The sequence below is a fragment of the Homo sapiens genome, chromosome 12, assembly GCF_000001405.40.
Source record: "Homo sapiens chromosome 12, GRCh38.p14 Primary Assembly".
Lineage (NCBI taxonomy): Eukaryota > Metazoa > Chordata > Mammalia > Primates > Hominidae > Homo > Homo sapiens.
Window position 1 is genome coordinate 132,570,733 of NC_000012.12, and position 24,901 is coordinate 132,595,633.

Consider the following 24,901-nt stretch of genomic DNA (forward strand, 5'->3'; position numbering starts at 1 on the left):
GGGACAGGCAGGACACGTGCCCATGCACGTACAGACGCGTGTTCACACTGAGACGGGCGCACGGGCCTCCCCTCCTGGGGCCAGGCCTCCCCCGCAGCCTGCTGGGTCCTGAGCCCTGGGAGGAGGGGGCCGCACATCAAGCAGGCGCCATCCCAGTGGAACCCCGACCGCGAAGGCTTCCTCCCTCGGCCCCCAGGCGCTTCCTGAGGCTCCGAGTCAGCCCGGCCCAGGCTGGGGACGGCCCCGTGTCCCGGGATGGGACCAGGATGCTGGCCTGCGGGTGGCTGGACCCTGGCTCCCGGGGAGGGGCTCACCGTGTTCTCTCTTGCCTCTAGATGCCAGCCTGGCGGTCTCATTCAGCCAGCCAATCATGTATTGCCAGCCTCATTCGGGAATTCTGATTGGTACTTGGTCACAGGCTCCTCTCTTACCTGCACCCCTGGGCCCGCACGTGGCGAGCGGCCACCCCGGCTTGGCCTGCCGACCCCGGGAGTGCCAGGTGACTATCCGCCTCGCCCCGCCGGGAGCCCGCGGCCAACGTGCCTCTCTGTCTCTCTCTCTTTTTCTCTTGTAGATCACGAGCTGCTCAGGCAAGAGCTGAACACGCGGTTTCTGGTGCAGAGCGCCGAGCGGCCTGGCGCCTCCCTGGGCCCGGGGGCTCTGCTGCGGGCGGAGTTCCATCAGCACCAGCACACACACCAGCACACGCACCAACACACACACCAGCACCAACACACATTCGCCCCCTTCCCCGCAGGGCTGCCCCCGACGCCGCCCGCCGCACCCCCGCCGGTGCGTAGGCCCGCGTGCTGGCAGGGGGCGGGGGCGGGCGTGGGGCGGGGACACGCAGCAGGCACACACAGACACACGCTCGCACACACACCAGCCCAGGAGGAGGTGGGGGGCCGGCGGCACCTCTCTGTCGTCTGTCCGGTCCCCAACGTGCCTTCTGGTGTCCCCACCCCAAGCTGTGCCATGAGGCCCCCACCCTCGGCAGTGGTCCTGGACTTAGGCAGGCACCCCGTGCCCACGTGCATGGGACACCCTCACGCCTGCACTAGATCCCCAGTGCCAGGGCTGGAGGCCCAGACAGGCCTGAGGGCACAGGGACCATGACTCAGGGTGCCTCCCGTGTTCCCCGCCCCGGAGGCCCGGTCTGAGGAGGGAGTTGCTGGGGGCTGGAGTCCCCTCCACTCTCTCGAGTTTTATTCGGAAACTGGCCAGTTTGTCAGTAACCCGGTGTGTCCCCAGCGCGACCCAGCAGCCAGGGCTTCACGCCCCAGGCCTCAGCCAGGCACACAGACTGCCTGGGGGGGCCGAGTTCCCACCCCATGCAAGGGGACCCTTAGAATGGCAGGGCCGCCCTGGTCTGAGACTGAGTTCAGAGCCGTGGGGCTGGCGCTCTAGAGGAGCCTGGGACGGCTGGCCGAAGCCGCCAGCCTCAGGAAGCACAACGCCGTCCTGTCACTGCCCAGCCCGGCCAGGTGGGCGGGGCCCGGGGCCCAGCAACGGTGTCGTGTGTGCGGGGCCTCACCCTCCTCTCCTTCCCTTCCAGTTTGACAAGTATGCGCCCAAGCTGGACAGCCCCTACTTCCGACATTCCAGCGTGAGTGTGAGTGTCCCCGAGGGGCCCGGCGCGTGTCGCTGTGCACGCAGGTCCTGGCCACGGGGCGGTGGGTGGGGCTGCCCCTCGCCTGGCCTCGCCCCTGCTGCATTGGTGCCACCTTCTGGTTACAGGCAGAGGGTGGGGTGAGGACTTGGGCCCCCCCTCCATCCGCTCTCCTTCTCTTACAGTTCTTCCCGTCCTTCCCTCCTGCCATCCCGGGACTGCCCACCCTGCTCCCACACCCCGGCCCCTTCGGGTCCCTGCAGGGCGCTTTTCAGCCTAAGGTACCGCTGCCCCTGGCAGGTGGGGCGGGCACAGCGGGTGGGTGGATTTTGGGGGGAGTGCATGACAACCTCGCCAAACTCTCTGCCCACAACCACCCCCCTTTCCCTCCCTTGTACCTGTCGTCATCTGGGTGCTGGCGTGAGCAGCCCCTGCCAGGATGGGGGGCCCTGCGGTCTGTGTGTGGCCACCGTGGGAGGGACAGGGGGTCCAGCCTGGGAGCAGCCCTGGGAGGTGGTGGGACCGTGTGGAGAGCACACTGTGGAAGCCTCGAAGGAGAACATTCCAGTCCTTGGCAGGAGGCCCTGGTGTGGACAGCAGCCTCACAGGCCGTCCTTACCGCAAGGAGGTTCTTACGGGGCCATCCACACTGCGAGGAGGTTCTTACGGGGCCGTCCACACCGTGGGGGACCCGGGCCTTACGGGGCCGTCCACACCCGCAGGGGACCTGGGTAGCAGGAGGTTGTGTGCCATCTCAGCCAGGGGAGAGGGAACCCCGTGACCCTCCTCACTGTTCCTGGCCTTGTGCTGTAACCCCACCCTCTGCGGAGGGGCACACAGCTCTCAGTCCTGAAGCCGCCTCACCTGTGGGCCTCAGGTTCTGAAGACGGGGCCTGGACCATCCCCGGTAGCTGCCAAGCCCTTGACCTCCCAGGATCCTGCAGCGCCCACTCATTGCCCACAGCTGCCCTGAAGGGCCCAGCACGCACCCCTGGGCTCCCCTGGGGCACCGCCCACATCGTGGACGGGCAGATAGTGCTTCCGAGGACCAGGCACCCCTGGGCACTAGAGGGTCTTGGACCCCCAGACCCCGTGGTTGAGGAATTCAGAGGAATGGAGAAGGGATGTATGTGGCCCACCTGCAGGTGTCGAGCAGGGACCCCCAGACTGGGACTCGGGGGTACTGCCCTGAGCCCAGACAGCCAGGACGCTGAGGCCCTGAGTCTGGGAGGGAAGGAATCTGTCCCGGCCGCACCCCGAGCACAGCTGCTTCTGGGCAGGGTGGTAGCCCAGAGGGAAGGGGCGGTAGAGCCAGTCTGGGGAGGAGGGGGCTGTGGTGTGATGGCCGGTCTTTGCTGTGGGACCCCCCTTTCCCTGGCGCCCCTGGTGGGAAACGACCATCTCCCCTTGGCCCATCCAGGCTCACAGCAGCTCCTCCTGGGCTGGAGACTAGGTGTGCACCACTCCCCCTCTGGGTGGGGCTGTCTCGGCCCTGGTGGCAAGTGGCTCCCCGGGGAGGGTCGCCCACCTTCCCTGGCAAGAGCACCTGCTTCCCACCTTTGCAGAAACTGGCGGGCCAAAAGTGTGGTGGTCCTGCGAGGGAGGGCAGGCTGTCCCTGGGAGACAGCGTGCGGGGCCCCACGGCAAGGCAAAGCAGGGCACAGGCCCACGCCAGAACCAGGAAGCCCGAGGCGTCCTCCTGCCTGGGCGGCCCCAGGCGCACACAAGCTGTCTCTTTCTCCCCTCAGACTTCAAGCCCCATTGAGGTGGCCCGCCGGGCTGGTGCGGTTCACACACTCCTGCAGAAAGCGCCTGGGGTAGGTGTTAGTGGGCGCCCGTCCCCACCCCGGGGGATGGCCTGCCCCGGCCGGGCCCTGTGCGGGCTGGTGGCCACAGCAGACGGGCTGTGTCCCCTGCACCCCCAGGACTCAGCCTCCTGAGGGGCCCGGACCTCACACTCCTTTCCTGTCTCCACAGGTGTCTGACCCGTACCGGGCGGTGGTCAAGGTGAGCACGTGTTGGGAAGGCCCGTGGCAAGGGAGGACTCTGGTGCCCCCGGGGCGGCCTCGGGGGGCCCGTGACAGCAGGAGTCTGCAGAAAACATGGGTGGGGGTGGCACCAGCCCCACTGAGCGCTTCCATCCTGTCGCAGAAGCCGGGGAGGTGGTGTGCCGTGCACGTGCAGATCGCCTGGCAGATCTACCGTCACCAGCAGAAGATAAAGGTGAGACCACCTGGGCTGGGGCAGGGCGCTTGTGAACCCGACTCCAGCCTGGTCGGGCCCTGAAGGCCAGGCATGAGGCTGTGTGTGTTCACACGCGTGTGCACGGGTGTGATCCTCACGCGTGAGCCGCCTGCCCCTTCCTCTGGGTACTGGGCTTTTACCGTAAGCAGGTCAGCGAGGCCACAGGGCAGTGCTGGGTGCCCGGGTGCCGCAAGGCCCTCTCCTCGGCAAGGTGTGCCGGCTGGGCCACGGGGAGCAGAGCAGGGGCACGGGGTGCCGCACCAGCTCCCCACGTCACTGGGGTGCCTCTGGGGTCCTCTGCCGCCCCCACTCCCCACAGTGATTGAGTGTCTGCTGTGTTCTTCGGTCTTCAGCAGTGACCCAGGGGGACCGTGAGTGCTCACAACTGATGTGCACCTGGGAAGGCTGAGGAAGGCGGGAGCCCCGCGGGCAGCTCGGTGCAGGTCCCACCAGGCTAGGAGCTGCGGGAGCGGGAGAGGGTCCTGGGAGGCCAGGACAGGGGGACTGTTGCCTCAGCCCCGTGGGACCCTGCACCTCTGCTGTCCCTGCGCTGTCCTGATGACGCACGTCACCTCCGCACACAACTCTGAAAAATCATTGTCCTAAATGCCCTTTGGGACGGGACTCAGAGCAGAATGCTGTATGTCTTTCTTTTTTTTTGAGACGGAGTCTCGCTCTGTCGCCCAGGCTGGAGTGCAGTGGCGCGATCTCGGCTCACTGCAAGCTCCGCCTCCCGGGTTCACGCCATTCTCCTACCTCGGCCTCCCGAGTAGCTGGGACTACAGGCGACCGTCACCACACCCGGCTAATTTTTTGTATTTTTTGTAGAGACGGGGTTTCACCATGTTGGCCAGGATGGTCTCAATCTCTTGGCCTCATGATCCACCCACCTCGGCCTCCCAAAGTGCTGGGATTACAGGCGTGAGCCACTGTGCCCGGCCAGAATGCTGCATGTCTTTATACTTGCATGTCTGGGTGGAACTTCTGGACACACAGCAGAGGGATCAGGTGCTCCTGGTGGGGGGCCGTCCACGGCAGAGTCGGGAGACCTCATCACTCCTGGTTTTGTCCTTGGAACTCGGGGCATGGTTGCTCCACAGAGGAGGGCAGATCCTGCAAGAGGCCGGCGGTCCAGGGAGAGGGCGCACACAGGGTCTGCCCAGCCCTCACGCCTGCCCCCACGTAGTGCCAGAGTACCCCAGCATCATCATGGCCAGTGAAACCACCCCAGTGCCAGAGCACACTGCAGGGACCAGGAGGGGCCGGCCCAGGCCAGCCTGAGTGCGGGTCAGAGGCAGGACAGGCAGAGGCAGCGCAGTCACCAGGACAGTGGGGTCTTGTTTGGCTACACCCCTCCTGGCTCTGGGCCCCTCTGCTCCCATGGGAGGGCATGGGCATCCCCAGTCTCCACCCAAGCCTGGCCCTGCCTCCCACAGCCGCCTGGCAGCGTGGGCACCTGAAGTGTGGCCAGTGCAGGTGAGGGGCACATGTTGTAGTTTCATATAATTTTTAACACATTTAACTTTGAAAACTGATACCAAATTCAGTCACTGAGAAACTTTTCAGCATATTTGGAACAACTTGGGCACGTGAGCATGCTTTTTCAGTTTCTTTTTTTTTTTCTTGAGATAGAGTCTCGCTCTGTCACCCAGGCTAGAGTGCAGTGGCATGATCTCGGCTCACTGTAACCTCCACCTCCCGGCTTCAAGTGATTCTCCTGTCTCAGCCTCCTGAGCAGCTGGGATTACAGGCGCCCGCCACTGCGCCCAGCTAATTTTTGTATTTTTAGTAAAGACGGGGTTTCGCCATGTTGGCCAGGCTGGTCTCGAACTCCTGACCTCAGGTGATCCGCCCGTATCAGCCTCCCAAAGTGCTGGGATTACAGGCGTGAGCCACCGTGCCTGGCCTTAACTTTTAAAAGAATCTAAATACAAAAAAAGTAAGTTATTTTCCATGACAGCGTAGCATCCCAGCTGCCATGTGCCAAGTACGTACCACAGTTCAGAGGACGTGAGCTCTCCCGTTCAGCTTTTTTGCTGATCATGTGTAACATTTCCGTCATCCTGAGTAGAGAATACACCCTTGAAATCCATCCCACCTGCTCCCCTTACTGGACTGGCTCACACCCAGTCCCTGTGGCCCCTCAGGCCTGGGCTCCCTGTGTTCAGGGCCAGTCCCCGGGCAGGCGGCCCTCACCCGTTCTATCCTCCCAGGAGATGCAGCTGGACCCCCACAAGCTGGAGGTGGGTGCAAAGCTGGACCTGTTCGGCAGACCCCCTGCCCCGGGCGTGTTTGCAGGCTTCCACTACCCACAGGACCTGGCCCGGCCCCTCTTCCCCAGCACAGGTGAGACTGGAGTCGGGCCAGGTGGGGGGCACAGAAACCTCCCGCTCGTGCCCAGCTGAGCCTGCCTTCCTGTGCCAGGAGTGAGAGCGCTCTCTGGACCGCAGCACCAGCCTTTGCTTCTTGATGCTCACCACTTATTCAGGTCAAAGCCTGGCAACTCCCTCACCTCACCCCACCCCTCACCTCTCTTCTCCTCACCTCTCCTCTCCTGTCCTCCCCACCAGCCTCCCCAGGGTGGACCTGGGCCTGGGGCTGCTGCTCCTCCCCACCAAGTCCTGCCCAGTGTGTCCTGGGGGGCCTTCAGCCCACGCCACACGGCTCTGAGGCGGCTGGTCCTGGCCACCCCTCCTCCCTGGGGCTCCCTGTTCTGGCCCCACCAGAGGCAAAGGAATGGCAGGGACCCAGGCCCACGCGAGGCTGCCCCTTTCTGTCTCCCAGCCCCCGCTTTCCCAGGAGGAGTTTGGCCTCTCGCTGAACAGTAGGAAGCTGCTCCTGAGGCCAGGCTGGGCCCACACCCCAGTGCCCCTTCCTCACATGCATGGTTGCTCCCGGGGTCCCAGGACGGGCCCAGCTGCGGTGGTTTCCTAGGAAGGGTTCCAGGACTTGGCCTGTACTGTCCTCAGTAGCACGGCCCAGGGTGGGATCTGCCGGGAGCAGCGAGGGCCTCCCTGCCCTCAGTCACCCACTCCCCCGAGTCACCCCCTCCCCCGGGTCACCCCTCCCCCAGCAACACAACGTGACCACACCCGAGTGTCATCCTCCAGGCACGCAGAGGCACGAAGACTCTGGGGTGCTGATCTGTAGGCACCACTGCCTGGCACAGGCCCCCAGGAGGAAAGTGGGCTCGAAGTTCAACCCACAGTGTGGGATGGACACAGTCTGGGTGCCTAGAGGCTGGCTGAGGGCCAGCTGTGTGCACAGACCTTTCCAAAGATGGTGTCTCAGCCTGCACGGTGCACGCCTTTCTACACATACACAGTTACACACAGTTACACATCCACATCCACGCGTGTACGCACACGTGAAGCATGAGCATCCACATACAGCTGACCCTTGAACCACACAGAGGCTGGGACACTCCCCACCACACAGTTGAAAATCCAGGTATAACTTTTGACTCCCCCGAAACTTAGCCTACTGTTGACAGGAATCCTTACGATAGCATAAACAGTTGCTGAACACCTGTTTTGTGTGTTACATGTATGATGGACTGTATTCTTACAATGAAGTCCACTAGAGAAAAGAAAACCTTATGAGGCAGACCATGACCAGGCGTGGTGGCGCACGCCCGTGGTCCCAGCTCCTCAGGAGGCTGAGGCAGGAGGGTCGCTTGAGCCCAGGAGGTCAAGGTTGCAGTGAGCCGTGATTGCACCACTGCTCTCCAGCCTGGGCAACAGAGCAAGACCCTGTCTCACACACACACACACACACACACAAAATCATAGAGAAAAGATATTTGCCATTCGCTGTGTGGAAGTGAATCATCCTAAAGGTCTTCATCCTCGTCCTCACACGGAGTGGGCTGAGGAGGAGGAGGGGCCGGTCTCGCTGTCTCAGGTGGCAGGGATGGGAGGAAATCTGTGTCTAAGTGGCCCGCACAGTTCAAACCCATGTTGTTCAAGGGTCAGCTGCATGCACACGTACATACCCACGTGTACAGGCACACGTACACACAGGCACAGGCACACACATGGGCACTGCGTTGCCCAGTTGTCCTGCTGATGGAACCTTTCCCAGCCACCAGGTCCTTGAGGCCTGTCCCTTCCTCAGAGCTCCCAACCCCCGCTGCAGCCCCCCCTCACTCTCCCCTCACCGTGTTTGGTCTCTTCCATGTTCATGAGCATTTGATGGCACGTTGCATGTGGACGTGTGAAGGCAGAGCCCTGTCCACATAAGGGTGATGGGCGTGCCCAGCAGCCACATGAGGCTGGCTTCACAAGCATGGTGGCCTCTGGGCCATGGAGCATCCCAGTAGTCTGGCTTTCTCAGAAAGCAGAAGTCCAGGCTGCAGTTTCTGGCTGTCCGCATCCTGGCTCAAGCCCCCCGGACACGTGCTCAGTGTGGCGCCCAGTTCTGGGCCCTCCACACTGCCCGCCCCACCGACCCTGCTCCTCCCCCGCCTCCCCTTCCCTCCTCTGGATACCTGGTGGCTGTCCCTCGGTGCTCTGCCATTTGTCCTGCGAGGCTGGGCCCCCTCAGTCCCGGGGCCAGTGCTGCCTCCTCCATCTCCTTGGCAGGTCTTGATATCTTGCTGGCAGGGGGCAGGATGATTCCTTGTTGCTCTTTTCTCTCTTCCATATAAACTTTCAATCTGCCTGTTAGGTTCCAGCTTTCACTGGAGTTGGGTTAAAGGGGTACATCGACCTAAGAGGGATTCGTACGTCATCTCCGGTATCATTTTCCTATCCCTGATCATGGTGTATCTCATTTATTTAGGTATTAGTAGAATTACTCATAGATGCTTTATATTTTACTAATATTATGATTGGAATTTGTAAGTTACATTCTTAAGCTGTTGCTAGAAAACAGAAGTGCGTATCTGTTTTGAAGATTTGTATGCCATCTCTTGATGCTGTAACTAGCAATCCTGCTAAATTCTTACGAATGCAAAGACATTTGTCTGTCAATTCCTTTACCTTTTCTGTGTAGAAAGTCATATCTAGGAGTGGGTGGTTTGCCCCCTTGTGTAAACTGTCGGTACGTTTCTGGAGCCACTGTTCCAGCGCTTTGTTCCAGATGAGTTTCCTGAGTAAGCCTGGCCTTTACTTTCCTGTGCTGCACCTGGCAGGTTTTGTCACGAGGGCTCTTTGCCGTCTTCAGTGAGTTAAGGCGCTTTCCTTTTTTCTGCTCTCTGGAAGAGCTCTTGTGAGGTCTGATCCTCACTGCCTTCAAGGCTTGGAGGCTCACAGTTCAGGTTCCAAGTACTGATTTTTTTTCTCCACTGGGTGTGGTATTCCTCAAGCTGTTTCTTCTGGCATCGGTTTCAGTAACGCGAGTGTTTCCAGTAAGTTGATTTGGGGCAGGCTCCGTAGCTGTCGGTGTCCATCCGTCACGCCTGAACTCCGCAGGCCCTGGCAATTCTTAATGTTGCTTGGCTGTGTCGTCTTTTTTCCTTCATTAATCTCACCAGAAGTTTGTCCATTTCACCAGTATTTTATTTTAATTTATTTATTTTGAGACGAAGTCTTGCTGTGTCGCCAGGCTGGAGTGCAGTGGTGCGATCTTGGCTCACTGCGACCTCCACCTCCCGGGTTCAAGCGATTCTCCTGCCTCAGCCTCCCAAGTGGCTGGGACTACAGGCAGGCGCCACTACACCTGGCTAATTTTTGTATTTTTAGTAGAGACATGGTTTCACCATGTTGGCCAGGCTGGTCTCAAACTCCTGACCTCAGATGATCCTCCTGCCTCGGCCTCCCAAAGTGCTGGGATTACAGGCGTGAGCCACTGCGCCCGGCCAATTTCACCAGTATTTTTAAAGGAGCAGCTCTGACCTCGCTGCCTTCTCTGTGTGTTTCCCTGTGTGTCGCTCACTTTTCTGGCCCTGTCTAGCTTGATCTGGTGGTTGAGAATATTAATTCCTCAGCCTCTCCCAGTGCGGGCATTTGAGGCAGTGTACTCTCCATCTCCTCCTGCACACGCTTTGACAAGCTGTGTTTTCGTAGCATGGGGCAGGCTGTCTTCCTCTCTAGTTTAGAAGAGTGGCATCAGCTTTCATGCCACAGCTCAGTGGAGACCAGAAGCTCTGAATACAACTTGCCGCGTCCTACATGGGAGGCATGAGCACCCCATCTTTGAGGTCCCTAAGATTAGGGCTGGGAGGGAGTCGGAGTAACCTAAAGATGACGCCCTGCTGGTCTTTACCAGAAACCTGCTCTCTGGACCCATGTGGAGGACGGCCCCTGACCAACAGCACTGAATCCCCTGCAGCAGCCCCTCCCAGGGCCCGGGCCCAGGCCCCACACGGTTGCTCTCCAAGGGTTGTTGGGGGGCCAGGGCTGATGTTGACGTGGTGCTGTGGGCTGGGCCTGTGCCCAGGAATGCCACAAGGGGCTGCCATGTGCAGCCTCCAAGACAGAACCGTGTCCATCCAGGCCTGAGGCCCAGCACCACATTAAGAAGTGAGGACCATCTATCAGCTCCCAGGTGAAAGCTCTGAGATAAAGGCTTCAGGAGTGGTCCGATCAAGGTGCATGTTACTTGGACTTTGTCTCTGCCCAAGTTGCAGCCCCTTTGCTCCGAGGGTTGCATCGCACTCAGCACCTCCCTCCCTGCCCCCCTTGGGGTCCCAGGATGGCTGCCACTGCGGCTCCAAGTCAAACCTCCTCCGAATTGTGGGGTAGATTCCACCTCTTACTCTGACTGGACACGCTTCACCCCTCAGGGCATGCGAGAGAATGGGAGGTGAAGGTTCACAGAGGAAATTGGGGTGCTCCCTGTGAACAGAGCTGCAGATGGGAGGCCCTGGTGCTCTCTCCTGGCTTCTGTCAAACCTGGCTGCCCCCCCCAGGTGCCGCCCATCCTGCCTCCAACCCATTTGGACCCTCAGCCCATCCTGGCAGCTTCCTGCCCACTGGCCCCCTGACAGGTGGGTGTCTCTGAATTCAGCCCACGCAGCCTGGCTGGTTCCTCAGCAGCCTTGTGGCGGGGGAATTAGGTGGGCGGGAAGGTGGCCCCGAGCCCCAGGGAGCCCCTTGGGTCATGCAGGCAGTACCCACCAGGCCCAAAGCCTCTACAGCAGCCCCCACTGGGCCAGGTGGGAGCCGCAGCCCACGCCTCACAGACCTCTGGGTCCCGCGGTTGCCCCCACAGACCCTTTCAGCAGACCGAGCACCTTTGGGGGCCTGGGCAGCCTGAGCAGCCACGCCTTTGGGGGCCTGGGCAGCCATGCACTGGGTGAGTGACCCAGCCTGTGCCCCCCTCCCCCGATGCCCGCGCCCCTCCCCCATGCCTGTGTCCTCTGCAGGAACCCCGATGCCTGGCTGACCTCCCTCCTCTCTGGGCTGGGCCTCCTTGGGGCACCCCCTTCTCAGTGTCAGCCTGGGACCCTTCTAAAACCCCTACCGGGTTCTCCTGGGGAGTGGCTGGGGAGCAGACAGACCCAACCTCATGCTCCCCGGCCTCTGCCCCCAGCTCCCGGTGGCAGCATCTTTGCCCCCAAGGAGGGCTCCTCCGTGCACGGCCTGCCCAGCCCCCATGAGGCCTGGAACCGACTGCACCGGGCACCGCCCTCCTTCCCGGCTCCGCCCCCGTGGCCCAAGTCCGTGGACGCGGAGCGGGTGTCAGCCCTGACCAACCATGACCGAGAGCCGGACAATGGCAAGGAGGAGCAGGAACGGTGAGTGGCCCTCTTGTTCCGTATCCCCACCACACACCCCTACCCCGTTCTTTCCCCCCTCCCGTCATCCCCGGTTCCCCCTCCCCCGTTCCCTCTTCTCCCCGTTTCCTCTCCCTCACCGTTCCCCCTCCCCCTGTTCCCCTTCCCCGTTCCCCCTCCCCCATTCCCTCTCACCCTCCTCGCCCCACTGCTGCGCACTCACAGTCTGTCCAGCTCTGCTGAGCCCCGGGGTACGGGGGCCAAAGCTCTGCTCCCCGGCGACTCCTCCCTGCGGTGGGGAGTGAAGCCTGGGCCCTGGGGCTAGGAAGGATGAGGAGGGTGAAGACCCCACCACAGGCACCCACACCTGCCATCCGGGAGACCTCCAGGTGGCCGCGCCCTGACCCACGGAGTTTGAGGGAGGAGTTCGGGGGTGCGGCTGCCGGGAGGCCCCCCTGTCCTAACAGGGAGGGGCCCGTGGGGAGCCGAAGTCGCTGCAGGCGGCTCATCCCGCTTCCGTCTCCCGGCCAAGGTTTCCAGGCCGCCCAGCGGGGAGAGGACGCGTAGGTTTTGGGAGCCTGTGGGGGTGCGGGAGCTGTGGGTGCTGAGGGGTCACCGGCCACCCAGAAACTGGAGGCCCCGACAAGCAACGGGAACATCCCGGGGCTGCGCCGCGCGGCAGGACGGAGGTCTCGGGAGTGACGGGTCCGCCCTGCCGCCCCCAGGGACCTCCTGGAGAAGACGCGCCTGCTGAGCCGGGCCTCGCCCGCCACCCCCGCTGGCCACCCCGTCAGCGGCCTCCTGCTCCGGGCCCAGAGCGAGCTGGGCCGGTCCGGGGCCCCCGCGGAGCGCGAGGCCGAACCTCGGGTCAAGGAGAGCCGCTCCCCGGCCAAGGAGGAGGCCGCCAAGATGCCCGCGCGCGCATCCCCGCCCCACAGCAAGGCGGCCCCTGGAGACGTGAAGGTCAAGGAGGAGCGCGGGGAGGACGAGGCCTCCGAGCCCCCGGCGGGCGGCCTGCACCCCGCGCCCCTGCAGCTCGGCCTGGGCCGCGAGCGCCTGGGCGCGCCGGGCTTCGCGTGGGAGCCTTTCCGCGGCCTGGAGCTGCCACGTCGCGCCTTCCCCGCTGCCGCCCCCGCCCCGGGCTCCGCCGCCCTCTTGGAGCCCCCGGAGCGCCCCTACCGCGACCGCGAGCCCCACGGCTACAGCCCCGAGCGCCTGCGCGGGGAGCTGGAGCGCGCGCGGGCCCCGCACCTGCCGCCCGCCGCCCCCGCCTTGGACGGCGCGCTGCTGCCCTCGCTGGGAGCCCTGCACTTCCCGCGCCTCTCGCCCGCCGCGCTGCACAATGGGCTCCTGGCGCGGACCCCGCCCGCCGCCGCCGCCCTCGGCGCACCGCCCCCCCTGGTGACGGCGGCCGGGCCCCCCACGCCCCCCGGGCCGCCGCGGAGCCGGACTACTCCGCTGGGGGGCCTCGGGCCGGGCGAGGCGCGCGACTACTCCCCGTCCCGAAATCCCCCGGAGGTGGAGGCGCGGTAGCCCCGGGGCCGCAGACGCCTCTCCGAGCGGAGCGCACCGCTGTCCGTCTCTCCATCAGTTCCTAGAACTCAAGCACAGCTCCCGCCGATCCTGGGGCGGCGCCGCCTCTCCACCCGCAGCCTGCGGAGGCGGGGACTTGGGTGTCGGCTTTTCTGAGGGTGATCTTTTGTTTTCCGAGTTTGGGATTCGGCTGTTGGGAAAAAAAAATCGCGTTTGTACCTTTTCCCCCCACAGATGAGAAGTGTTTGTAATGGATTTGTATTTTTCTTAATTTTATGCTCTTTAGACGTTTAAAAGAACCAAAAAAGAAACTTTTGCTTCTTCGTTTTCGGTTGGGATTTGCAGTTTAATGGCCTCAGATCCTTCTCCAGATCCCCAGGGTTTCTTTGTCTTATTTATGGAGAAAAACCGGTCACTTTGTCCAGCGCACTGTGAGGCCCCCACTCAGGCCAGCCCTGGCCCCCCCTTGGTACTTGGAACCGAAGTTACAGATTATATTAAAATAATAATGTACAAAACTTTGTTTTTTTGCCTTATTATGCAGAAGTGTAATTTCTTTTTTGGTTTGTTTTTTTAAAAGCAAACGAAACGTGTAAATAGTCTGTTGATATAAATATATGACGTTACTAAATTCTTAATCTAGATAGACTTTATAAAAACCGTTTCCAGAAACCCCTCTGGTTGTTTGTCTAACATGGTCACAAAAACCCAGGCGCTGCTGGCTGTAAACATTATCAGAAGTTTAATGGCAGCAACTTTCCTTCAACTATGCAAGCGCTTCCCGGCGGCTCTGCTGGTTGGGGGAGGAAGGTTCCGCCAGCGACCTCCCAGCCCCTGGGTCCGTGGAGGGGTTGGGTCCCCCAGCAGAGCCCCTGGGCCAGCAGAACAGCACTCCTGGGCGGCTCCTGTGGGCTTCAGGACTGGCCGGCTCCAGCCGCAAGGGCGATGCTGTGGACGTTTGTGTGGATGGTGCAGTGTTCTTGGAATCTGTAGACCAGATCGGTGGAGGTATAGAAGTGCAAGAGTCTAAAGGCTGATTTTACACACACACACACACACACACACACACACACAAAATCACTGCTGTGTGTTTTCTTCCGCCTGAGGCATCAGCGTCACCTCGGTGTGGTCGTCGCCTCCCAGGCCCTTGGCCTGGCCTCCTCTCAGTTTGGGTTTTGCCCTCACCCACATGAGCCCCCCCATGCCCTGCCCCCCTTGCGGCCTTTTGTGTTCCCCGATGTCTGGGCTGTGTCCCTGCCGGGATTCCCAGCCTTCGGGGTCAGCCGTCGAGCCACTTGCTTTGCTCAGTTCTGTGTTTCAGCCACATTTCCACGGTGGACCCTGTTTGTTTTAAATATTCTGTTCCCATGTCAATCAGTGACGATAAATACAGCCTTGATTTGGATGAAACTGTGGTCGCGTGTTCTGTGGTGTTGGGGGGCCAGGCTCACCCAGGCTGACCCCTGCAGCCGTGCGTCCCTCCTGCAGCACCTTGGGATGCTGGGCGCCTCGGCGGCCCCACGCTGTCCGGTGCCATCGCCCCGGAAGTGAAGCACAGCAGGTCCCAGCTTCCCAGCCCTGCTGCCACCCCGGCTCTGCCCAGCCCCCTCCCCCAGTGCCACCTCTCCCGGTGGAAACCCCAGCTCCTGGCTCTGCCGGATGCCCCATTGTGCTCCTTCGTTCTTGGGGGTGTCACGCGGCCTCCCGTCGTCCCACCCCCAGCGACCCCGCTGGCCGCCTTCCCTCACATCCACGGGGTTTTCTGCATAGAAGGTGCTCTTAGTTCCCGCCTTTGTGCCAGAGAGTTCTGGCCCCGCAGGGACTTGTGGGATTGGCTTTGCCCTGGCTGTGCCCGAAGGAACAGGAGCTCAGAGGGCAGGAGCCAGGTGCAGAGGTGGCAGCCCCCACCCTCCAGTGCAGTGAGCGCCAGGCCCACCTGCCTTGAGTGATGGTCAGGAAAGCTCCAGGTGCACACCTGGCCTTGACCTGAGTGTCACCCCCACCCTGTCCCTGCCAATTCACTCCTCACTAAGGGGCCCCAGGGCTGCAACCTAAGAAGGAGGCCTCGTGGGCCCACCGCGCGCCCAGCAAGGAGTGCCCTGCGTCCCACAAGACCCTTCCAGGCTGGCAGGAGGGGCAGGTCCCAATCCACGCCCCACCAGGTCATTGTCTGGGGCCTGGACCATCTGCCATGTGGGGCTTCTATATAAGGGTTTGCTTCCTATGGAGTCAGCCCCACCACCCTGCAGGCCTGTGTGTCCCAACTTGGGCTTCAGCCTTTACGGTGAGCTGCCACTTAGCGATGGGGAGACACTGGGAAATGTGTCATGCGATTTTGCCACTGTGTGAATATCACAGCGCGTGGCACACACCTGGATGGGGCAGCCTATTGCTCCTGGGCTGCACCCCATGTGACTCCTGAATCCCATCGGCAGCTGTAACCCGGCGCATGAAAAGGTACAGTAAGAATGCAGCATTCTGGCCAGACGTGATGGCTCACGCCTATAATCCCAGCACTTTGGGAGGCTGAGGTGGGCAGATCACCTGAGATCAGGAGTTTGAGACTAGCCTGACCAACATGGTGAAACCCCATCTCTACTAAAAATACAAAAAATTAGCCGGGCGTGGTGGCGCTCGCCTGTAATCCCAGCTGAGGCAAGAGAATCGCTTTAACCCAGGAGGCAGAGGTTGCGGTGAGCTGAGATGGCACCACTGTACTCCAGCCTGGGAGACAGAGGGAGACTCTGTCTCAAAAAAAAGACAGAAAGAAAAGAATCCAGCATTCTAATCTTCTAGGGCCGCCCCTGCCTATGCAGCCTGCCCTTTCCCACAGCGCGGCTGGACGGCACATGGCTATGCTTCACGTCCCCTTGTCTTGGTTATTCCAACCTATGCATCTAATCTTCAGGAAGACCCCAGGAATGCATATTCTGCCCTGAGTGAGCTGATTGTGTTAGTCACCCACACAGGCCTGCTCTGCCCTGGGGCTGGTCTGACCCAAAGCCCCAAGGCCCCTGCAGGGCAGCCCAGCAGCGAGTAGGAGGCAAGGCCAGGACCCAGCGGCGAGGAGGAGGCAGGGCCAGGGCCCAGCGGCGAGGAGGAGGCAGGGCCAGGGCCCAGCGGCGAGGAGGAGGCAGGGCCAGGGCCCAGCCCTGTGGCCCCAGAGATCTGGGAACATACCTGTAAAGCGCAGCTGGAAGGTGGTCAGCAGTGCGGCTGGAGGGAGGGCGGCAGTGCGGCTGGAGGGAGGACGGCAGCTGGAGGGTGGACGGCAGTGCGGCTGGAGGGAGGGCAGCAGTGCGGCTGGAGGGAGGGCGGCAGTGCAGCTGGAGGGAGGGCGGCAGTGCAGCTGGAGGGTGGACGGCAGTGCGGCTGGAGGGTGGACGGCAGTGCGGCTGGAGGGAGGACTGCAGTGTGGCTGGAGGACGGCAGTGCAGCTGGAGGGAGGGTGGCAGTGCGGCTGGAGGGAGGGCGGCAGTGCGGCTGGAGGGTAGAGAGCAGTGTGGCTGGAGGGAGGACAGCAGTGTGACTGGAGGGAGGGCAGCAGCTGGAGGGTGGACAGCAGTGCAGCTGGAGGGAGGACGGCAGTGCAGCTGGAGGGAGGGTGGCAGTGCAGCTGGAGGGAGGACGGCAGTGCAGCTGAAGGGAGGACGGCAGTGCGGCTGGAGGGAGGACGGCAGTGCGGCTGGAGGGAGGACGGCAGTGCAGCTGGAGGGTGGGCAGCTGGAGGGTGGGCAGCACTCCAGGGCCATCCGCTGGCCAGAACTACCTGCGAGCCCAGGGATGCCATGTGAAGGAGTGAAATGGTGAAATGTCCGCCTTTAAGTCAAAGCACACAGCCTGCATTGAGGCACAGAGAAGGGGGGAGGGGACCCCATCCAGGCAGTCCCTCTGGGCTGCCTTCCAATGTAGGGCCAGCCCTGGCACTGAGGCAGCCATCCCTCCCCAGGCATCATCCTTGAGGGGAGTAATCTCTGATGGTGCAGAATCCAAGGTAGACTTCTTCCCAGGAGCACTCTGTGGGGGGTACACTCCTGGGAGCACTCTGTGATAAGAGTACCTTCTTGGGAGCATTCGTGAGGGAGCACCCTCCTGGGAGCACTCTGTGAGGAGGGGCACCTTCCTGGGAGCACTCTGTGAGGGAGCACCCTCCTGGGAGCACTCTGTGAGGGAGCACCCTCCTGGGAGCACTCTGTGAGGAGGGGCACCTTCCTGGGAGTACTCTGTGAGGGAGCACCCTCCTGGGAGCACTCTGTGAGGAGGAGCCCCTTCCCGGGAGCATTCTGTGAGGGTACACGCTCCTGGAAACACTGTGAGGGGGCACACAGCTCAGAAGGTCAGCAGTCCAAGCAACCCACCCCCTGGCCCTGGAGGATTTTGGTCAGGCTATTTCCATCTCACCTGGTAACTTAGAACTTGGGCTAAGTTACCCTCCTGTAAAACTTGGAACCTGGGTAACTTAGAACTTGGGTAAGACTGACCCTGCTGTAAAAATCAGGAGTTGAAATTCTACTTTATTTCAACAAGACCTGAAAGATGCGGTCAGGCAAATGGAAGTACATCTGATGTTGACAGAAAAATAAAGGTTTTAATATATGTTTTAACATTCTATCCTTCATAGAATAGATACAGGGTTTTAAAAACACTCAACCTGGGTGACATTTGTCAAGCAGCTGCAGTGACTCCTGGCCAGCCCAGGAGAGAGAGGAACAGCATCAAAGTCCATTCTGTTACTACGAGACTCAGGGCCTGGCACGCAACAGGGGCCAGGTGTGTCCTGGACGGGCAAAGGCACCGAAGAAGGAGGAAGCCTCCCAGACGCCCTGCTGGGCTCCTCCTGGCAATGCCTGGACCCCTCACCAGCAAGGGAGTGGAGTCCCAGGACAGGCATGGACCCTGGAATGCCCTGGGTGTCCAAACTAGCCTGTTCTCCGTGCCTTGTCCTCAGGTGGCCACCTCTGTGTCGGGGCTTCCCCTGCTCTCTCGTGAGGACTAGTCTGCGTTTACACTCTACCTGGGTAATCCAGGAAAGCTGCACAGCCTCCACATCCTTACTTTAATCACATTTGCTCAGACGTGGCCTTCTAGGTGACGTACTCGCAGGTTCCAGAGATCGTGCCATGGAGATCTTCCTACCACTGACGGGAACCTGGAATTCAAGGATCTTGACGCAGGCTGTAAGTATTCACAGCTGACAACGCTGAGTTCTCTGCAGCGTCGGCTGGGATCCTATCCACAGCCCAAGGGCACATGGCGCTGCTGGGAGAGGCCAGTGGCCAGTGCTCTTGTGTCCAACAGGCTCTACACGCTGGGGAAGGCCCAGAGAGAAAGGAGTGTGCCTGCAAGTACAGGATCTATGACCACGACGCTGTCAACACACAGGGTTTTCCCACAGGACACGTGTTCTGGAGGCAGAGGTTCAGGAGGTGCTGCAGGAGCTTGAGTCAGGCCTGGCATTTCTGTGATTCTCTTGGCCTTTCCTTGCTCATTGCCTCATAGTTATGAAATAGCTGCTGTAGCTCCAGGCATTACATCCACCTGCCAAGGAGAGAGATCAGTGAAGGGGAGATGGTGAGTGCCAACCTTGTCTGGAAAGACAGGGCCTCCCCAGGGTTCCCCCTCACCACCAGAGGGTCTCTGCTGAGGTGTCATCGGCTGACACTGGGGGGCCTGCACCCCTCGTCAACAGGGCAGGGGAGGTGGGCCGCACCTGGCCTGCTGGCTAAGGGCCCAGGTTCTTGGTGGGAGCTGGACTAACCCAGGGGCCTTTGGGAAACCTGAAGGTCATTTTACATCCGGCATCCGCACACCTGAGACCTTCATGGACTTCAAATCCACAACATTTTACTATAAATTATTTTTATTTTTCTGTTATACCACAGTTTGGGGCTTATATATTTGGGGGCCTTAGATATTTTTTCCCTAAAATTATATGTGAAGCTTTTAAGAACTGAATTTCATTTCTAGATAGAAAAGAAAGCATCATAAAATATTTACCATGAAGGCTTCAGACCGACTGCCTCACACTGACCCCAATTCCTTCCTTCCTGGGTGGTCTCGGGGCTGCTCGGAGCTGAACAGGGTCCCCTTCGACAGGGTTCGGGGGGATGGATGTGGCCTTGCTGAACACAGCAGCAAACAGGAAAAGAGGCCTCATGGAAACAGCTGAGCCCGTGTGGCCCCCTGGAAACCTCACCCCAGCCCCACGAGAGGCTCAGCATCCAGCCGCCAGGCCGGAGGGTTCTGGGGGCAGGGAGGGTCAGAACCACATCTCGTAATCCTGCAGCGGCTTGCGGCTGAGGATTGTGACCGCCTGTCCCCCCACCCTGCCACTAGGGAGGCCACCAGGACACGGCTGCCTCCTAGTCAGGAAGAGGCTCGAGGGCTGAGTTGACCAAGCAGGGGCCAGGTGTCTGCACCTGGGCGGCCCAGAGGCTGCATGGTCCCTGGGCCTGACACTCACGGCTCCTGTTTCTGCCCCAGAGAAGCAGATCTGGCACCCCTGCTCATCAAGTTCAACGTGTAAATGGAAACAGCAACTCAACTGTTGGGATTTCCCTCCTTTACATTTTTGTTCTAAAATTTTTTTTTTGGAGACAGAATCTCGCCCTGTCACCCCGGCTGGAGTGCAGTGGCGCAATCTCGGCTCACTGCAACCTCCGCCTCCCACATTCAAGCGATTCTCCTGCCTCAGCCTCCCAAGTAGCTGAGATTACAGGCAGTAGCTGAGATTACAGGTGCCCACCACCACGCCTGGCTAATTTTTTGTATTTTATTAGAGACGGGGTTTCACCATGTTGGCCAGGATGGTCTCCACCTCCTAACCTCATGATCCGCCAGCCTCGGCCTCTCAAAGTGCTGGGATTACAGGCGTGAGCCACCACACCCGGCCTAATTTTGTATTTTTTAATAGAGACAGGGTTTTGCCATGTTGGCCAGGCTGGTCTCAAACTTCTGACCTCAGGTGATCCACCCACCCTGGCCTCCCAAAGTCCTGGGAGTACAGGCGTGAGCCACTGCGCCAGCCTAGATTTTAGAAAAAGAAATTATAGGACTGATGCATGTTCCTTGTCACAAGCAAAAGAATCCATGAGTGATCAGGAAAGCAGCCACTCCCTCTGGGGACACTACCTGTGCTGTGGAACCGTCCGAGGGAGCTGGACTCCTCATGCTCCAGGAAGAACCGCGGGTGCTCCATGATGCCAGCCCCTGTGGCTGTGTCCGGTTCGTGGATTAAGTCTTGTCTATCAAACTGCACCTTCTGGGACAAACATTTTTTGTGGGATTTGATTCTCCAACGTGGAACTGTGGGTTCAGAAACGGTGCTTATCTGTAACTTGTATTTGTTATTTTAAAAATTTCAGCTTGAAAAGTTGCAAGCGCCGTTCACATAACTCTTTCCTGACCTCAGAGCGAGCTGGTAACCCTCCACCTTCGCTCTCGGCACCTTCTGTCCGTTCCGGCAGGCAGGCTGTCCGTCCCAGTCCACACCGCAGCCCCCCAGCATCAACGAGCAGCACAGCTCCCTGCCTGGTGCAGGGCCTCAGCATTCACGCTGCTTCCTCCTGGGAGAGCCCGCCCCGCCTCTCAGGGACTCTCACAACCTTGGTGCGCAGAAGGTTCTGGACCGCAATTCGGGGACGCCCTCACTGGCTTTCTCCGGAGCGTGGGCATTGGAGTGGAAATACGTAGAATTGCTGGGGATCCTCGAAGCCGCCGGCAGCGCCCGATGCCAGCTTGTCCCATCAGGCGTTGGTCCCGACCTGCACTCAGCCACCTGCCCCCGGTTTTGTAATTGAGCATTGAGGGGAAGATGCCTGAACCCATATGAAACCTCTTTCCCCTCAAACGTTCCCTGCACGCATCAATTACATCAGCGCAGCTGGGCCTTCCCCTGAGCGTGATGTCCAGGGGCGAGGCCAGTGGCTTCCTGCGCGTGCCCGTCCCCACTCACAGCCCCTGACCTCCGGGGCCCCCACGCACCAGGCGCTCCCTGCCCGGCCCCATCTCCCGGAGCCCTGGAGGCTCAGCCTGGGTGTCGTGTGTGCCTCGTGCTCTTGGGAAAGTTACCTGTGTTTCTTCACATCTATATTTATTTACTTCCAAAACCACCAAGGTGTGTTGAAAACCCTGGAATTCCAGGCCAGGCGCGGCAGCTCACGCCTGTAATCCCAGCACTTTGGGAGGCCGAGACGGGCAGATCACGAGGTCAGGAGATCAAGACCATCCTGGCCAACATGGTGAAATCCCGTCTCCACTAAAAATACAAAAAAAAAAAAAAATTATCCGGGTGTGGTGGCGGGCGCCTGTGGTCCCAGCTACTGGGGAGGCCGAGGCAGGAGAATGGCTTGAACACGGGAGGTGGAACTTGCAGTGAGCCGAGATCGCGCCACTGCACTCCAGCCTGGGCGACAGAGCGAGACTCCATCTCAAAAAAAGAAAAAAAAGAAAACCCTGGAATTCCAGTCCGACCGCACAGGGCTCATCCCGTGCTCCTGGCATCCACTGGCTTCCCCACGGCGGGGAGCCCGCCTGCTCCCCTTGCAGATGCCCCTACTCCTCACCTGAGCCCAGCACCCACCCGGGGCCGCCCACCCGGCACAGCGCCTGCCCTCTGCTCGGCCCCGGCCACCCCAAGCCGGCGCAGGGTCCATGCTGTACTCCCAACCCCTGGCTCCCCACGGCCCGTGAGGATGCTCAGCCTCATGCAAAGGTCTCAGGACGAAATTGTCCAGGAAGGGAAGGCGAGCGGGAGGAAGGGGGCGGGCAGACAAGCTGTGCGGCCTCTTCTCGCCTCTCCTGGCTGCGCCCTCAGGTCCCCGATTCGAGCTTCCTGCCCCCACTGCCTGCATCCTACCGGCGCCTGACTGCACTTAGGGCCTCCTGGAAGTGCAGACTCGCCTCTCCATCTCAAGACCCTTAACTTACTTACACCTGCGAAGCTCCTGTTACCACATGTGGCAGCACTCCCAGGTTCCACGGCGGGGATGCGTCTCCGTGCCGTCGCTCAGCCGACCACGCAGCCCTCCCGGCCCCTTCCTGTCTTGGATGCGGCTGAGATTTCTGGAGCACAGCAGCCGTCCTGCAGCTGCAGCGAGTATTTAGAGTTCATAGCACAAGCCTGCCCCTATTTAAGTTGCAGAAATAACACATTTATCTCCAGGATTTGCCCCAACCCTTGCTCATCTCCAGGCCTCAGCCTTCCTGACACAATTCCACCTCCCTGGTACAGATGCTCGTGGCTCCTCAAGACACATTTTAAATCTTTTTTCTTTATTGAGCTGAAATTCACATCACATAAAATGAACCGTTTTAAAGCGTACAATTCGGTAGCATTTAGTCCATTTGCGATGTTGAGTGACCCTCACTCCCGTCTGGTTCCAAACGCTCTCCACCTGGAAGAGAACTCCCTCCCCGTGAGCATCTCTCCCACCGCCGCCCTGGCAACCCGGGCCTCCTCCCGCCTCCGGACCCGCCTGTTCTGGGCCTGCATAGAAACGGAAGCTCACAGTCGGGGCTGTGTGTCTGGCTTCTGTCCCCCATCGCCATTCTCCAGGCTCACCCCCTGCAGCCGTGCGGGCCTCATTCTTTTCCTGGTGGAATCCTGTTCCCTGGTGTGGAGGGCCACGCTGGGCTTATCTGTCGATCGTTTGTGGACACCTGAGCAGCTATGAAGAGTCTGCTTTGAACATCTGTGGACAACAATTTGTGTGACGTCTGTTTCCGATTCTCTTGGGTTTGTCCCAGGAGTGAGCTTTGGGGTCAGATGTCCAAGTTCACAGTCACACTCGAGCCGTGACCTCGGCCGGGGCCTTGCCAGGTCCAGTCCTGGCCTCAAGATGCCCCTTCAGGGTCAGCCCGCAGCCAGGGGTCCCAGAGCAGGCAAGGGCTTGAGGAGGGCCTCCCGGGGCTGGGGCACCTGCCTTTCAGGTGAAATATCAGAGTGTTCAACCCAGACCATACCAATGGCACCCGCGCGGAGTGCAGTCACCAGGGAACCGCCCTGCGGCGATGGCCCCGGCGGGGAGAGGGTGGGTGACGTGCGCTGCGGAGCATCTGCCCTGGTGGAGGTGCAGCCCCACTCAAAAAGGTTCACCGTGTGAGTTAAAGATGTTTACTGTGAACCCTGAAGCAACCACTAAAACAACAAAACAAAATTCTGGCTCATAAGCCAACAACTGCAATCAAACAGGATCATCAAACAGAATCCAAGGAAGGAAGAGGAAATGGGAAAGGGAGAGCCGGTGACAGCAGCGGGAGCAGAGAGCAGGACGGCGGGCGTGGCCTCTACACAGTGAGACCAATGGGAGCAGAGAACAGGATGGCAGGCGTGGCCTCTGCATAGTGAGACCAAAGGGAGCAGAGAACAGGAAGGTGGGCGTGGCAACTGCACACTGAGACCAATGGGAACAGAGCAGGACAGCAGGCGTGGCCTCCACGCAGCCACAGCCACACCGGAGCAAGTGGTCAGACAGCCCCAGTTAAGAGCAGAGATTGCCAGGGAGGGTAGGACAGCAAAACCCAACGCTAAACTGCTCATGAGAAATGCACTTTAGATATGGACACCAATAAGTCAAAAGGACAGGAAAAGCTATGCCATGCAAACAAAAATTTTTAAAACCTGCAGTGACTATGTCAATATCAAAGTAACTTCAGGGGCCGAGCACGGTGGCTCACGCCTGTAATCCCAACACTTTGGGAAGCTGAGGCGGGCAGATGACTTGAGGTCAGGAGTTCGAGTCCAGCCTGGCCAACATGGCGAAACCCTATCTCTACGAAAAATACAAAAAGTAGCTGGGCATGGTGGTGGGCGCCTGTAATCCCAGCTACTTGGGAGGCTGAGGCAGGAGAATCACTTGAACCTGGGAAACAGAGGTTGCAGTGAGCCGAGATCGTGCCACTGCACTCCAGCCTGGGCAACAGAGCGAGACCTTGTCTCAAATAAAATAAAATAAAAACAAATATATATTAAAATTTTAAAAAATTGCAGCTGGACACGGTGGCTCACGCCTGTAATCCCAGCACTTCGAGAGGCCGAGGCAGGTGGATCACCTGAGGTCAGGAGTTCTAGACCAGCCTGGCCAACATGGTGAAACCCCGTCTCTACTAAAAATACAAAAATTAGCTGGGCATGGTGGCGGGCGCCTGTAATCCCAGCTACTTGGGAGGCTGAGGCAGGAGAATCACTTGAACCCAGGAAGCAAAGGTTGCAGTGAGCCGAAATCCCGCCACTGCACTCCAGCCTGGGCGACAGAGTGAGACTCCATCTCAAAAAAAAAAAAAAAAAAAAGAATTCCCAGGCAAAGAGCTATCAAGGATGAAGATGCTCTCAGGCAGTCTCAGGCAGGCAAGGGTTCAGGCACACATTTATTCCCTGCATATTTTCTTTGGAAGCTACCAGAGGAAACATTTAAGTAAAATAAGAGTGCACACCAACAAAAAGAACCCAACTGGAAGGACAGCAAAGAGAAGCTCCAGATGACCGCCTCGCAGCAGTTAGAGGTGGAGTCTGGGCTGGCTGCAGCGGCTTACGCCTGTAATCCCTTTGGGAGGCCAGGATGGGAGGTTCGTTTGAGGCCAGGAGTTTGAGACCAGTCTGGGCAACATAGCAAGACCCCATCTCTACAAATAAATAAATTAGCTGGGCATGGAGATACGTGCCTGTGGTCCCAACTACTTGAGAGGCTGAGGCGGGAGGACCCCTTGAGCCCAGGAAGCGGAGGCTGCAGCGAGCCGGGATTGCACCACTGCACTCCAGCCTGGGCAACCATATCTGTCCTCACGAGACACAGGAACCTCATGCTAAGGGAAGAGGCATCGGGGAAGAAAACATGCAGCATAAAGTTCCTGATTTC

General features: G+C 59.9%; 1 protein-coding gene, 1 long non-coding RNA gene and 1 other non-coding gene across 22 annotated transcripts in view, besides 1 other annotated feature; 2 read left to right on the plus strand and 1 right to left on the minus strand.

Annotated features, from left to right (window-relative positions):
* The window catches only part of FBRSL1 (fibrosin like 1), a 95,038-nt gene extending 80,582 nt beyond the window's left edge, over positions 1–14,456 (plus strand). For 3 of the 20 annotated variants that reach the window (XM_011534812.3, XM_011534803.4, XM_011534804.4), the window contains 12 exons: positions 336–404; positions 575–792; positions 1,556–1,612; positions 1,738–1,890; positions 3,358–3,426; positions 3,587–3,616; positions 3,761–3,832; positions 6,067–6,199; positions 10,581–10,784; positions 11,009–11,092; positions 11,330–11,534; positions 12,239–14,456. In XM_011534812.3, the coding sequence (XP_011533114.1) occupies positions 336–404; positions 575–792; positions 1,556–1,612; positions 1,738–1,890; positions 3,358–3,426; positions 3,587–3,616; positions 3,761–3,832; positions 6,067–6,199; positions 10,581–10,784; positions 11,009–11,092; positions 11,330–11,534; positions 12,239–13,046 (2,102 nt within the window). In that variant the 3' untranslated portion in view covers positions 13,047–14,456. The other 17 variants (XM_011534807.4, XM_047429219.1, XM_011534808.4 and 14 more) reach the window with 16 other exon arrangements.
* Positions 11,265–11,329, plus strand: MIR6763 (microRNA 6763). The gene has a single exon (NR_106821.1). It is a non-coding gene; the product is annotated as a microRNA 6763 (primary transcript).
* Positions 14,457–22,298: 7,842 nt separating the features above from the next.
* Positions 22,299–23,732, minus strand: LOC124903062 (uncharacterized). The gene is made up of 2 exons (XR_007063549.1): positions 22,609–23,732; positions 22,299–22,441 (listed from the first exon to the last, which is right to left on the minus strand). It is a non-coding gene; the product is annotated as an uncharacterized LOC124903062 (long non-coding RNA).
* Positions 23,396–23,445: an enhancer, noted in NCBI's record as "active region_7385". NCBI's record gives its function as "activates an Ori minimal core promoter by ATAC-STARR-seq in GM12878 lymphoblastoid cells {active_cell/tissue: GM12878}" and the evidence as "EXISTENCE:reporter gene assay evidence [ECO:0000049][PMID:35858748]".
* Positions 23,733–24,901: the final 1,169 nt, after the last annotated feature.